The 12602-nt window shown below is 55.2% G+C and overlaps 1 protein-coding gene and 1 long non-coding RNA gene across 10 annotated transcripts in view, besides 6 other annotated features; one reads left to right on the plus strand and one right to left on the minus strand.

The window, feature by feature from the left end:
- Positions 1-276: part of an enhancer, noted in NCBI's record as "H3K4me1 hESC enhancer chr11:65077439-65078046 (GRCh37/hg19 assembly coordinates)", that runs on past the window's edge. NCBI's record gives its function as "activates a minimal SCP1, AML or CMV promoter by ChIP-STARR-seq in naive H9 embryonic stem cells {active_cell/tissue: H9 hESC(naive)}" and the evidence as "EXISTENCE:reporter gene assay evidence [ECO:0000049][PMID:30033119]".
- LOC105369344 (uncharacterized) overlaps positions 1-4390 on the minus strand; it is a 20917-nt gene extending 16527 nt beyond the window's left edge. For 5 of the 8 annotated variants that reach the window (XR_007062727.1, XR_001748263.3, XR_001748262.3 and 2 more), the window contains exon 1: positions 3472-4390. This is a non-coding gene — a long non-coding RNA (uncharacterized LOC105369344). Of the gene's footprint in view, positions 1-3467 lie in introns of all 8 variants that reach the window. The other 3 variants (XR_007062725.1, XR_007062724.1, XR_007062726.1) reach the window with 2 other exon arrangements.
- Positions 277-884: an enhancer, noted in NCBI's record as "H3K4me1 hESC enhancer chr11:65078047-65078654 (GRCh37/hg19 assembly coordinates)". NCBI's record gives its function as "activates a minimal SCP1, AML or CMV promoter by ChIP-STARR-seq in naive H9 embryonic stem cells {active_cell/tissue: H9 hESC(naive)}" and the evidence as "EXISTENCE:reporter gene assay evidence [ECO:0000049][PMID:30033119]".
- Positions 4225-4604: a silencer, noted in NCBI's record as "silent region_3513". NCBI's record gives its function as "represses an Ori minimal core promoter by ATAC-STARR-seq in GM12878 lymphoblastoid cells {active_cell/tissue: GM12878}" and the evidence as "EXISTENCE:reporter gene assay evidence [ECO:0000049][PMID:35858748]".
- CDC42EP2 (CDC42 effector protein 2) lies at positions 4567-12118 on the plus strand. Of its 2 annotated transcripts, none has more exons than XM_047426244.1 (2): positions 4567-4655; positions 10223-12118. In XM_047426244.1, the coding sequence occupies exon 2, from the start codon at positions 10600-10602 to the stop codon at positions 11230-11232; it is 633 nt and encodes a 210-aa protein (XP_047282200.1). In that variant the 5' UTR covers positions 4567-4655; positions 10223-10599; the 3' UTR covers positions 11233-12118. The 2 variants fall into 2 exon arrangements, with proteins under 2 accessions (XP_047282200.1, NP_006770.1); NM_006779.4 differs by having other exon boundaries at positions 10245-12118.
- Positions 5065-5194: a silencer, noted in NCBI's record as "silent region_3514". NCBI's record gives its function as "represses an Ori minimal core promoter by ATAC-STARR-seq in GM12878 lymphoblastoid cells {active_cell/tissue: GM12878}" and the evidence as "EXISTENCE:reporter gene assay evidence [ECO:0000049][PMID:35858748]".
- Positions 5365-5524: a silencer, noted in NCBI's record as "silent region_3515". NCBI's record gives its function as "represses an Ori minimal core promoter by ATAC-STARR-seq in GM12878 lymphoblastoid cells {active_cell/tissue: GM12878}" and the evidence as "EXISTENCE:reporter gene assay evidence [ECO:0000049][PMID:35858748]".
- Positions 8809-9032: a silencer, noted in NCBI's record as "fragment chr11:65086579-65086802 (GRCh37/hg19 assembly coordinates)". NCBI's record gives its function as "represses an EF-1alpha promoter that drives an FKBP-Casp9 reporter gene in an ReSE screen in K562 erythroleukemia cells {active_cell/tissue: K562}" and the evidence as "EXISTENCE:reporter gene assay evidence [ECO:0000049][PMID:32094911]".
- Positions 12119-12602: the final 484 nt, after the last annotated feature.

Here is a 12602-nt window from a genome sequence, read left to right on the forward strand (position 1 = left end):
TGGCAGGGCTCCCATGGCGATGCTGGGTGTGCACACAAAGATCCTGTCCATTCAGCAGAACCTCCTCAGGGATCCCCTGGGCCCCAGCCAAGTGACAACCACATCTGTGAATGGGGAGAAGGAAGCGCCCTCCCTGCATGCTTGCACAGCGCAGAACCCAGGGCCAGGCGCCGATCACTCCTGCGATGTGGACTTGGTCGGGCCCCCTGCTCTGAATGACAGCAGGAGTGGATTGAGCGGCAAGGGGACTGGCACTGGGCGGAACACGTCACATCCAGGTGGGTTGAAAACAGTCCCCAGAGTGCAGATAGCATTTCTAGTCCTGGTTGGAAGGCTCAGGGAGGAAAGCAGGAGCTTGGACCAGGTTTGCGGGCTCTGCTGCTCTCTATCCCTACCCGAGGGACCCCTAATCACCCACCCCCCACAGAACTTCTTCAAAGAGCTCCGGGGTTGGTCCCCAGCTGTGTGTGGCCTTGGGTGAGAGGCTTTGTTTCTCCATCTTCCATCCCTGTAACTCTGTTTTGTCCCCAGCTCTGAATGGAGTGCCTGACCCTTCCCTGACCGCTACCCCCCAATGGAGGACTCTCAGCAGATGGGCAGGGGATGAGGGCTTGGCCTGAGCCTCATTCCCGCAGGCTTAGGTGGCTTCATCATTACAGCCATTCCGATCAAGCAGCACAGCCAGCTGGCCAGGCCCCAAAGCTCTTGTCTAATGTGTCCGTGAAACAATGCCACCTGAGGGGCTGCGTATTCCCATGAACAAAATACATGCATGTCCATCCCTTATCTGGTTTGGGACTTGCCTGACCTGATGCTACTACCCCATATTATAGGCAAGGAGACTCTGGAAGGGAAGGTCCTTTGCCTGTGGCCACAGAGCAAAGCAGCAGCAGAGACAGCTCAGAATCTGACTGATGGCTCAGAGGCCGGGGCTCAAGGCACTCAGCTGCCCCTCCTCTCTGAGAGCTGTGTCCTGGGGATGGGCAGGAATGATGCCTGTGGGGTTAGAAGCCTGAGAGAAGGAGGGGCCAGAGCCCACATGCCTTGCCACTTCTAGGCTCAGCAAATCACTGTCGGTGCCCTGAGCTTTAGTTCCCATCTGTAAAATGGGGATCGTGATTCAGGCTCTGGCCACGTCACTAGGCACCCCCAGGAGGATGTAAAGAATTCAGGAACATGAAGCAATGGGTAAAGGGCACAGGGCGGCCTGGCAAAGTCCCATGGCAAGAATGGGGAGAGGCACACCCTTTACTCACCCCTACCACAGCTTGGCCCAGGGCCATCATTGCCACTTACTCAATGGTCCAGGCCTGTTTTCCTCCAAGCTGCCAGGCCATTCCTGGCAGAATCCACCTGACCAATACTCCCTGCAGAGTTGAGGGCACACTCAAGATTAAAACCTGAACCTCCTTGGATTCGTTTTCTATCACTGCTACAACAAATTATCATGGAATAGGTGGCTTAAAACAACAGAAATTCGTGATCTTACAGTTCTATAGGTTAGAAGGTCAACATGGGGCTGAGCGAGGTGGCTCATGCCTATAATCCCAGCACTTTGGGAGGCCAAGGTGGGTGGATCACTTGAGGTCAGGAGTTTGAGAGCAGCCTGGCCAACATGGTGAAACCCTATCTATACTAAAAATACAAAAATTAGCCAGGCATGGTGGCGGGCGTCTGTAACCCCAGCTACTCGGGAGGCTGAGGCAGGAGAATCGCTTGAACCTAGGAGATGGAGGTTGCAGTGAGCCGAGGTTGCACCACTGCACTCCAGCCTGGGCAATAGAGCAAGACTCTATCTCAAAAAAAAAAAAAAAAAAAGGCCAATGTGTGAGTCTCACTGAGCTAAGATCAAGGTGAGGAGGTGAGGGCAGGGCTGTGTTCCTTCTGGAGCCTCTAGGGTAGATAGGGTAGAACCTGTTTCCTTGTATTTTCCAGCTTCTGAAGCAGTTCCTTGGTTTGGGGCCTCTGCCTCCATCTTCAAAGGCAGCAACACATCATTTCTCTGGCCCTTCAGTCATCACATCTCTCTCTTTTTTTTTTGAGACGGAGTCTCGCTGTGTCACTCCAGCTAGAGTGCAATGGCACAATCTCGACTCACTGCAACCTCTGTCTCCCAGGTTCAAGCGATTTTCCTGCCTCAGCCCCCCAAGTAGCTGGGACTACAGGCACGTGTCACCACACCCAGCTAATTTTTTGTATTTTTAGTAGAGACGGGGTTTCACCGTGTTAGCCAGGATGGTCTTGAACTCCTGACCTTGTGATCCACCCGTCTCAGCCTCCCAAAGTGCTGGGATTACAGGCGTGAGTCGTGAGCCACCACGCCCGGCCTATCACATCTCTTTCTCTGTCTCCTGCTTCTACTTTTAAAAACCCTTGTTATTACACTGGCCCACCCAGATACTTCAGCATAAGCTATTTTAAAGTCAGCTGATTTGCAACCATAATTTCATTGGCAATTTTCTTTTTTTTCTTTTTTTTTTTTTTGAGACGGAGTCTCGCTCTGTCGCCCAGGCTGGAGTGCAGTGGTGCGATCTCGGCTCACTACAAGCTCCGCCTCCCAGGTTCATGCCATTCTCCTGCCTCAGCCTCCTGAGTAGCTGGGACTACAGGCGCCCGAGTAGCTGGGACTGCAGGTGCCTGCCACCATGCTCGGCTAATTTTTTTTTTTTTTTGTATTTTTAGTAGAGACGGGATTTCACCATATTAGCCAGGATGGTCTCGATCTCCTGACCTCGTGATCCACCTGCCTTGACCTCCCAAAGTGCTGGGATTACAGGCATGAGCCACGGCGCCCAGCCCTCATTGGCAATTTTCATTTCCATTTCTCATGTAACAAAACATATTCATAGATTACACAGGTTCGGATGTGGGCTTTTTTTCTTTTCTTTTTTTTTTTTTACATGGGTTTTTGCTCTATTGCCCAGGCTGGAGTGCAGTGGCGTGATCACAGCTCACTGCAGCCTTAACCTCCCAGGTTCAAGCAATTCTCCTACCTAAGCCTCCAGAGTACCTGGGACTACAGGCTTGAGCCACCATGTCCGGCTAATTTATTTGTTGTAGAAACAGGGTCTCACTATGTTGCTCAGGCTGGTGTCAGTGTCAAACTCCTGGACCCAAGCAATCCTCCCACCTTGGCCTCCCAAAGTGCTGGGATTATAGGCATGAGCCACAGCACCTGGCTAGATGTGAACATATTTAGGGGGGCTGTTATTTTACCTACCATGATCCCCTTCTTCCCATCCGGACCTCCCAGCTTGTCTGGCATCTTCCCCCACCCCCAGCATCCTGCCTCCCCCACTGAGGTCTTCCCGGCTCTGCCTCCCTAAAAGCCCTTCCCACACTGACAGCATTGAAGCCAACCATCCTGGTCACACTGAGCTGGCATAGCTGTCATCCTCTAGAAAGTGAGGTCTGTCCACCCCGTCACTACCCACCACTTCCTCTGCCCCACTCTTCTTAGCACTTACCCACCTGGAAGGGTATCATGATGTACCTGGGAACTTGGATTTCCCCCATTTCCCTTCTCTGGGCTGCAGGTCCCAATCCAGAGGCTGAATCCCCAGGGACAAGAACAGCGCTAGGCACTTGGTAGATACTCAACAAATCTCTCTTGAGTCACTGAGAGGTGCAGTTTCCTTCAGTCTGTCTCCAGCACCCTGTGCGGTGCCTGCCCTTCAAAACATGTTTCTGGGCCGGGCGCGGTGGCTCACGCCTGTAATTGCAGCACTTCGGGAGGCCGAGGCGGGCAGATCACTTGAGGTCGGGAATTCGAGACCAGCCTGGCCAACATGGAGAAACTCCGTCTCTACTAAGAATACAAAAATTAGCCAGGTGTGCTGGCACATGCCTGTAATCCCAGCTACTCGGGAGGCTGAGGCAGGAGAATCTCTTGAACCCAGGAGACGGAGGTTGCGGTGAGCAGTCTGGGCAACAAGAGCGAAACTCTGTCTCAAAAAAAAAAAAAGTTTCTGGCCCTGTAGGAATGACTGACTGACTGACTGAAAGAATGAATGGACCAGGAACTAGTCTGAATATGAGCCCCACCTTCACTCTGGAAGCCTGACAGCAAAGACGGGGGTCCAGGCCACGCGGCCTCTGCCTTCCCATACTGTCTTTTCTAGTGGGAGGTAAACTGATCAACTAGCTTGTAAGTTTGTAGTATTCTAACGTAGGCGCTTCCAAGGAAGTCGCTGAATATACTTGTGCCGGCGCTTCCCCGACGCAGCCCTGCAGGGAAGGATCCGGTCCAAGGTCTCTCTGCGATTTCTGAAGAATTCGGTCTTCCCGGAGCCTCTCCCCCGGCTCTTCTAGAACCGAAGGTTTTAGTTCCCATGGGCACAGCCGGAGGCCGCCTGCGCCACCCGGCCCTCAGCCGCCAGAACCAGGACAGGACTCCAGGGCGCGCGCGACCGCTGGACCCGGGAGCGGCACCTCCCACGCCGGGAGCCCCGGGCGGTGCCCGGAGTGGGGCGGGGCCTGGGCGGGGATGGGGAGGGGCTTGGCTGGCGCGGCCCCGGCATTGGCTCCGCGGGCCGGGGCGGGGCTGCGGGGTCCGCGGTGCACTCTGTAAGTTCACCGCCGGTCGGGTCCGGCCGCCGCGCTGTCCAGCTCCTGAGACCTTGCTGTCCGCCGGTCTGCCGTCTGCGCGCCTCACGGTGAGTTCGGGCTGGGATTTTCGCAGCTTCGCGGGGGTCCCCCGAGAGGCCCATCTCTGTGGCGCCCCGCCCCAGCTCGCGCCCTGGCTCTGCCTCTCACCTCACTCAGTTCCTTTCGAGGGCTCCTAGGGCTCCATGGGGCTTCCCACCCGCATCTGGGTTCCCGCAGCCTCGCCCGTGCCCGCCACGGTCCGTGGGGGCGCAACGCATCCCGACCCCGAATTCCCCGTTCTGCCCTCCATTTTGTGTCCGGGCCCCCGCCCCCCTCCCGAGACCCAGGGGTGCCCCGCCGCCCAGCATCCCCACCGGGGCTGGGGGCCGTATTTTTAGCCGATAGTGAGTTGTTCTCCTATCTTTAGCTGCGGCCGCGAATGTCCTGAAACGGATCCGGGCTGGGCTGGGCTCCGCCCGGGTAGGAGTGGGGAGGGGTCGGCGCAGGAACCCGAGCCGGAGCTAAGGAGCCGGACCCGTGGGAGGGGCGGGGGCCCGCACGCCCGAGCTCTGGCCCTGTGCCGAGCGGACACTAGGACATCGCCCAGGCCGGAAAGCACAGGGGGGAGGCTCCTCCCAGAGCTTGGAGACTAGGGCAGGGTCCCCAATCGCCCCCTTTTTCCCCGATTGTGGGACCAGAAACCCCGAAGCAAAAAGATCTCGCAGGTAATCCCCATCTGGTACTTGAACGCGCAGCTCCTTGGGGACCGCCTGCCTGGAGCCCGGGGGAGGGGCGCTGGAGACCCCGGTGCGCTCTCGGAGTCCTCCGGGACACGAGGCGATCAAGGGAGCACGCGCGCCACCTGGCGGCCGCGGAGCCGGGCACCTCTCCGGAGGCACCGGGACCCCGGGAGACCCAGCGGCCGCTAGAGGGTCTCTGCATCCTCGAGGTCTAGGAGGGCGGGAGGAGGTGGACGCCTGGGGTCAGGAGCCCTTCGTTTTTGCTATTGTTCAAAGCACTGGCCCCGGAGAATCGAAGTGCTTGAGGAAGGAAGGCCTTGTAGATATTTGCTGAATGAATGATAAAACCTACAGTGACCCGCTGAACCCCGCTATTGTACATTGGCGCTCTCACCTGCAATATTGCAGTGGGATCTCCAGTGGCCCTTTAGTGGTGGCTTCGTTGTCAGCCCATTTTATAGATGGGAAAGGTGAGACCCAGAGAGGAGAGGCGTCTTGCTGAAGGTTACTGAGGAAGTCCCAGGTGGAGCTGGATTTAAGGACAGTCTCCTGATTTAGGAGAAGAGGGGGTGTGAGGTGGCCTAATATTCTTCATGATAGGAGGATCCCTGCCTGCCGGAAGTCATTTTCTCATTGGGAGGTCCAGGGCTCCTGTCCAGGGCAATCACAGAGAGCTAGGATGCTCCTATCTGCTCCCCGACTGCTGCAGGGAGCTCCCCTCCCAGCTCCCCACAGCCCTGTCCTGATGGAGACCTCATTCTCATATCTCTGGACACATGAAAGTTGGGCAGACGGGGGCAGCCAAAGGTCAGGATGTAGATGGAGGAGATCTGGGGACCCACTGTTCCCAGCCTAGCTGTGAGCCCCTTTCTCTCCCGCTCCCCAAACATATTATGGAAGTAGGCGTGGCCCACTGCATGGGAACCACGTGGACCAGGCTGGGTACCCACTCTTCCACTTCCTAACTGGATGACGTCGCCAATGTTACTTAACATCTCTGAGGTTCAGCTTCGACTTCTGTAAAGGGCCGTAATGACCCCACCATGCCGTGACTGGGAGCTTTAAGATGAGAAACTGTGCGTGGCAAGCTGGATCCTAGGGTCTTGCAGTTGCCAAATCTAAATTCCTGGGGCGTGAGGGTTGTAATTCCCAGCTCTCCCCTGGGCCGCTGATGCTGGCCTCACCCTCGATTCTCCCCACATCTGGAATTGGGTGTGTACATCTGGCTGTGAGTGAGACAGCTGTCAGGGACGCCCAATTTGTTGTGGAAACACTCAGGCTGTCTTGGCGCTGCCGTGTGATGGGGTTGGGGGTGCGGGGAGGACCTGGCCCAGGCTCTGGGTACATCCCACCAGTCAGCCCCACGCTCCATGAGTGAAAAGGAAGACAAGCCCCCCCCAGGACTTCTCTCCTGACGAGCGACAAATTGCATGTTTGTCAGCATGGCCCCCAGGCCTGGCATGGTTGACACAGGATGAATGCGTGACGGGATTCCAAGACCTCAGGGTGCCCATGCGTCCCCACCCTTCCCCCAGCTCCTTGCAAGCTGAGCTGGATTTCCGCCACGGGAGAGTCATTCCTTTGTTTCCTGTTAAGCTCCAGGTGCTCTGGGAGGGGTAAGATGTCCGGCCTCTGTGGCTCAGTACGACTGACCCGGGTGTCCGGTCCTGGGGTGGGGTTTCCTGAGCAAGGGCCTCAGCTGGTGGGGGGAGGGGGGCAGTTGGACTCTGCTTCTCCTGCATCCTCCTTCCTCCTTCCTGCTCCCGCCTCCCAACCCCCTCACCCCCACCCTCACCCTGCCCAGAATGAAAACTGAGGCAAAGAACTGGCAAGAGCCACCTTTGGTGAGCCCCTGGCTGGGCCTGGGGAGGGAGTGGTACAGGAGGGTGGGCTCATCTGGCTTGAATTCCCATGCTGCCCTTACTCACTGGGTGACCTTGGACAAGTTTCTCTCTTTGCCTTTTATGCTGAGTCTACATCTGGGCTCATGTGTACTGGACCAATCAGGTCCCATGTGCGTCCCCCACCCTCAAGCAGAGGGAGTGCTTGCTTCATTTCTTTTTTCTGTTAAATCAGTATGACACCCCTTCATAGCTATTTATTTTTACACATTAAAAATAGCTTAATTTTTTTCTGACTACATAAATATGTGCATATAAATAATACATTGCTTATTAGTAAGAATTTGAATTCATAGAGGTCTGAACAAGAAAGGAAACATCAACCTGAAATTCTACCACTTTGAGAAAACCACTGTTCCATCTTTTCATATTTATATATATTACACACATTTATCATGTCATAGTCATGGGACCAAAATATTATAGGTTATTTTTATTGATGACTCCTTTCCTCCCATATCAGTGACCCCACCCCCCATCCCTGCTGTGTACCCTAGTCAAGGTAGCCCATATGACAACCTAGGGCTGGCCTTCTAGATTTTTCTCTGTGTTTTAAATTTTTTTTTTAATTTTTTTTATTTTTTTTGAGGCGGAGTCTCACTCTGTCACCCAGGCTGGAGTGCAGTGGCACGATCTAGGCCCACTGCAACCTCTGCCTCCTGGGTTCAAGCAATTCTTCTGCCTCAGCCTCCTGAGTAGTTGGTATTACAGACTTGTGCCACCACACCTGGCAAATTTTTTTTTTGAGACGGAGACTCTCTCTGTTGCCCAGGCTGGAGTGCAGTGGCGCGATCTAGGCCCACTGCAGCCTCTGCCTCCCGGGTTTAAGTAATTCTTCTGCCTCAGCCTCCCGAGTAGCTGGTATTACAGACCTGCGCCACCACACCTGGCAAATTTTTTTTTTTTTTTTTTTTGAGATGGAGACACTCTCTGTCCCCCAGGCTGGAGTGCAGTGGTGCGATCTCAGCTCACTGCAAGCTCTGCCTCCCGGGTTCACGCCATTCTCCTGCCTCAGCCTTCCGAGTAGCTGGGACTACAGGCGCCAGCCACCATGCCCGGCTAATTTTTTGTATTTTTAGTAGAGACGGGGTTTCACCGTGTTAGCCAGGATGGTCTCGATCTCCTGACCTCATGATCCGCCCGCCTCGGCCTCCTAAAGTGCTGGGATTACAGGCGTGAACCACCGCGCCCGGCCTAACACCTGGCTAATTTTTGTATATTTAGTAGAGATGGGGTCTCCACATGTTGGCCAGGCTGGTCTCGAACTCCTGATCTCAGGTGATCCGCCCACCTCGGCCTCCCAAAGTGCTGGGATTACAGAAGTGAGCCACTGCACCTGACTTTTTTTTTTTTTTTTTTTTTTTTTTTTTTTTTTTTTTTGTATAGGACAGAATTCTACACAGACCTGTACCCATGCAGTTACACAACATGCATATGTGTCAGAGCAGGGAGGCAGGTAGGTAGTCAATGCTTTCAATAAATGGATGATCTATATTATGTTTTTGCATTTTGCTTCTCTCTCTCTGCAATGCCCTGTGGGAATCCTCCAAAATTTTTCACCTGTAGGTTCACCTCAGGTTCAATTTTGAATTTTGACACCTCTGATTTTTTTTTTTTTTTTGATGGAGTCTTCCTCTGTAGCTGAAGCTGGAGTGCCGTGGGGCGATCTCGGCCCACTGTAACCTCCACCTCCGGGGTTCAAGCGATTCTCCTGCCTCAGCCTCCCAAATAGCTGGGACCACAGGCATGAACCACCACGCCTGGCTAATTTTTTGTACTTTTAGTAGAGACAGGGTTTCACCATGTTAGCTAGGATGGTCTTGATCTCCTGACCTCGTGATCCACCTGCCTCAGCCTCCCAAAGTGCTGCGATTACAGGTGTGAGCCACTGCACCCAGCCCCAACACCTCTGATTTTTAAATAGGGTTGATAATAGGGTGGTTGTGTTGATTAATTGAGATGTGTCTGCAAAGAGCGCAGAAGAATTTCAGGTACAGAGCAGAGGCCCCCTCAACTAAAAAATATATGTACTCCCCACTCCACCTTCTCTTTAGATGCCAGGGTAGGGAGGAAGGCCAGAAAGTATCCTAGACTCAGCCCCTACCCATAAGGAACTCTTAATAGGCAGAGGAGAAAACACGACCCCACCTCCAGGTGGGACATGATTGGGTCAAATGGGAAGTGCCAGCCACCCAGCACCCTTGGCCAAACATCTGCTGTGCTCCAGGTCCCCGCCAGGCTTGGGCGGGAGAGACAGTGGTCACAAAGCTCTCTGTCCTTGGTCAAGTAGGGAGTCAAGGCCATTTGTGAGGCCCCCCACAATCTGGCACTTACATTGTGGGGCACAGGTGATGTGCAATGGAGGTGGGGGGTATGGTATGAGTACCTGGATAAGGGTGATGAGACCTACTTTGCCGGGGACCCAGGGCAAGAGAATAGAGCAGGACTTTCTGTGTGACTTTGGACCTGTCATTCAGGTTCCCACCTCAGTTTCCCACCTGTAAGGGGAGGAGCTTGGCCCTGGTGGTGAGTCTATAAGATGCAGTAGGTCTTAGAGTGAAGACATGCTTCTCCCAGTACAATTCCCTGCAAGGGGAGTGCCCCACCCCCTCAGGATCCCATGGCTACCACAAGAGGCCCAGAAACAAGATGTTTCTGGCCAGGCACGGTGGCTCACACCTGTGATCCCAGCATTTTGGGAGGCCGAGGCGGGCGGATCATTTGAGGTCAGGAGTTCAAGATCAGCCTGGCTAACATGGTGAAACCCTGTCTCTACTAAAAAAAAATGCAAAAATTAGCCAGGCATGGTGACACGTGCCTGTAGTCCCAGCTACTCAGGAGGCTGAGGCAGAAGAATTGCTTGAACCTGGGAGGTGGAGGCTGCAGTGAGCTGAGATTGCGCCACTGCACTCCAGCCTGGGTGACACAGTGAGACTCCATCTTAAAAATAAAAAAGATGTTTGCATCTGACCTTGGTCCCGCTGTCTCTGACAGGTGTGCACCCTTTGTGTTTCAGCTCCTCAGCCCTGGACCGGGGACAAGTAACCCTCGGTGACAAGACCAAAGTGCACTGCTGCCCACACAGTTCCTACCTTTCTGGCTTCAATTCTTCAGAAGAGTTTGCCGTCCTTTGGGGAGAACGTGATTTTTGTTATCTCAGCCCACTGACTTCATTGATCTCTAATCTTTTTTAATTCCTTGGGCCAACTTTGTTCGTGCCCCCACACTGTAGCCAGAAGCCCGTTGGCGAGCTCTGGCACCTGCAAACCACCCCGTGGAACGAGTGTTTCCTCTGGCTGAGGGTTGGAGAGGAGGTGTGGTCTCAGCAGGCGGCCCGTAGCCTCACAGCCAGGCCTGGTGGTGAGGTCACCATGTCCACCAAGGTGCCCATCTATCTGAAGCGTGGCAGTCGCAAGGGCAAGAAGGAGAAGCTTCGGGACCTGCTGTCCTCGGACATGATCAGCCCACCGCTGGGGGACTTCCGCCACACCATTCATATTGGCAGTGGCGGCGGCAGTGACATGTTTGGCGACATCTCCTTCCTGCAGGGCAAGTTCCACCTCCTGCCGGGGACCATGGTGGAGGGGCCTGAAGAAGATGGCACCTTCGACCTCCCCTTCCAGTTCACCCGCACCGCCACCGTGTGTGGGCGGGAGCTCCCGGACGGCCCATCCCCTCTGCTCAAGAACGCCATCTCCCTCCCGGTTATCGGTGGACCCCAGGCTCTCACCCTGCCCACAGCCCAGGCTCCACCCAAGCCCCCTCGCCTGCACCTGGAGACCCCTCAGCCTTCCCCACAGGAGGGAGGGAGTGTGGACATCTGGAGGATTCCAGAGACTGGCTCCCCCAACAGTGGACTGACCCCGGAGTCAGGGGCCGAGGAGCCCTTCCTGTCCAATGCCAGCTCCCTGCTGTCCCTGCACGTGGACCTGGGGCCTTCCATCCTGGATGATGTCCTGCAGATCATGGATCAGGACCTGGACAGCATGCAGATCCCCACATAGGACACGAGGCTGCCTAGGCTGGGGTCCCAGGTGGGGCCCAGCCAGGAGGTGGGGTGTGGACCCGGCCCTGGCGGCGGAGTCAGGGTCCCAAGATCCCACCTGTATGGTCGCTGGCCAGTGATTCTCCTTCTGAGCCGTGTTTCCCCTCTCCCTCCCTCTCCACGTGGGCAGGGCAGGCCCCATCGCTTTCCTCTGATAACCACATGGACACATCCTGAAGTCAGCCCAGGCGCCCTGAGCATCTTGGGGCACCTGGACCCCATCACAATACTCCTTCTTCCTTCAGGTCCCTGGGTGAAGGCTTTGCTGAAACCGACCCCCCTTTTCACGTCCCTTCTGCCTCTGCCCCGTTGGATGCCCTGACTGGGGGCAGGGGAAGAGACAGGGCACAGCTGGCCACAGGGCTCAGCCACTGAGCAGGCTGTTCCGGGCCTTTGGCTTTGCATCCTGGACGGGGAGTGTCCTGTCAGGGACCAGATGTGTCCTGCCTCATCCCTAGCTCCAATCCCTTCCCCACGTGACCGGGGATTCTGGTTGCAATAAAACATGCTGCTGCTGGTGGCGGAGCTCCCTGTCCCTTTGCCCCAGGTTTCCTCCCGGAGGCAGACAGTCTCCCAGAGCTGAGGGCTTGCCTCTGGAGACCCCAGCCCCAGAGGGCTTTGTGGAGGACAGGCCTTGCCCTCAAGAACGTCGTACCTGACGCTGAGCCTGTCATGAGAATGCAACAGGAGCAAACCAAGTGTTGCTGTGACATTGATTCAGATGTTTGGCAAGAGGTGGCTGAGCACTGGGGTGGGCTTGGCACTGTGCCAAGCCTGGGGCCAATCCCTGCCCAGTCAGCTGGGGTCTGGTGGGGGACACCCAAGAATAAAAGAATAACCACAAAGTGTGCAAGGGACCAACAGCTTCTCCAGCTTAAGAGCACCGAGGGAGCATGCAGGAGGGATGCTTGGAGCTGGGAGGGTCTAACAGTGCTGCTTCAAGATTCATTCCATCCACGGCTGTTTACTGAGCATCTCCAGTATACAAGGCACGGCTCCGGGTGCTGGGGATACAAGGCAGACGCCATCCCTGCTCTCTAAGAGTTTAAATTCTAGTTGGAAGGGGGATATTAAATTGGTAAACAAATAAGAGATGATTTCCAGCAGTGGTAAAGGCTACGAAGAAAACAACGTGATCAGGAATGCCTAGCAGGGAGGTCAGGGAGTGTCAGGGCTCATTAATGTGATCAGATGTGATTCTGAGCCAAATCGGAGCTACCAGCCAGATAACTCATATGTAAGCACAGGCACTGAGGAACCAGAGTGAAGACAGAGCAGACACCACACAGCAAAAGAGCGTGGACCTCCGAGTTGCACCTGGCCTGAGAC

Source organism: Homo sapiens, chromosome 11, assembly GCF_000001405.40.
Source record: "Homo sapiens chromosome 11, GRCh38.p14 Primary Assembly".
NCBI lineage: Eukaryota > Metazoa > Chordata > Mammalia > Primates > Hominidae > Homo > Homo sapiens.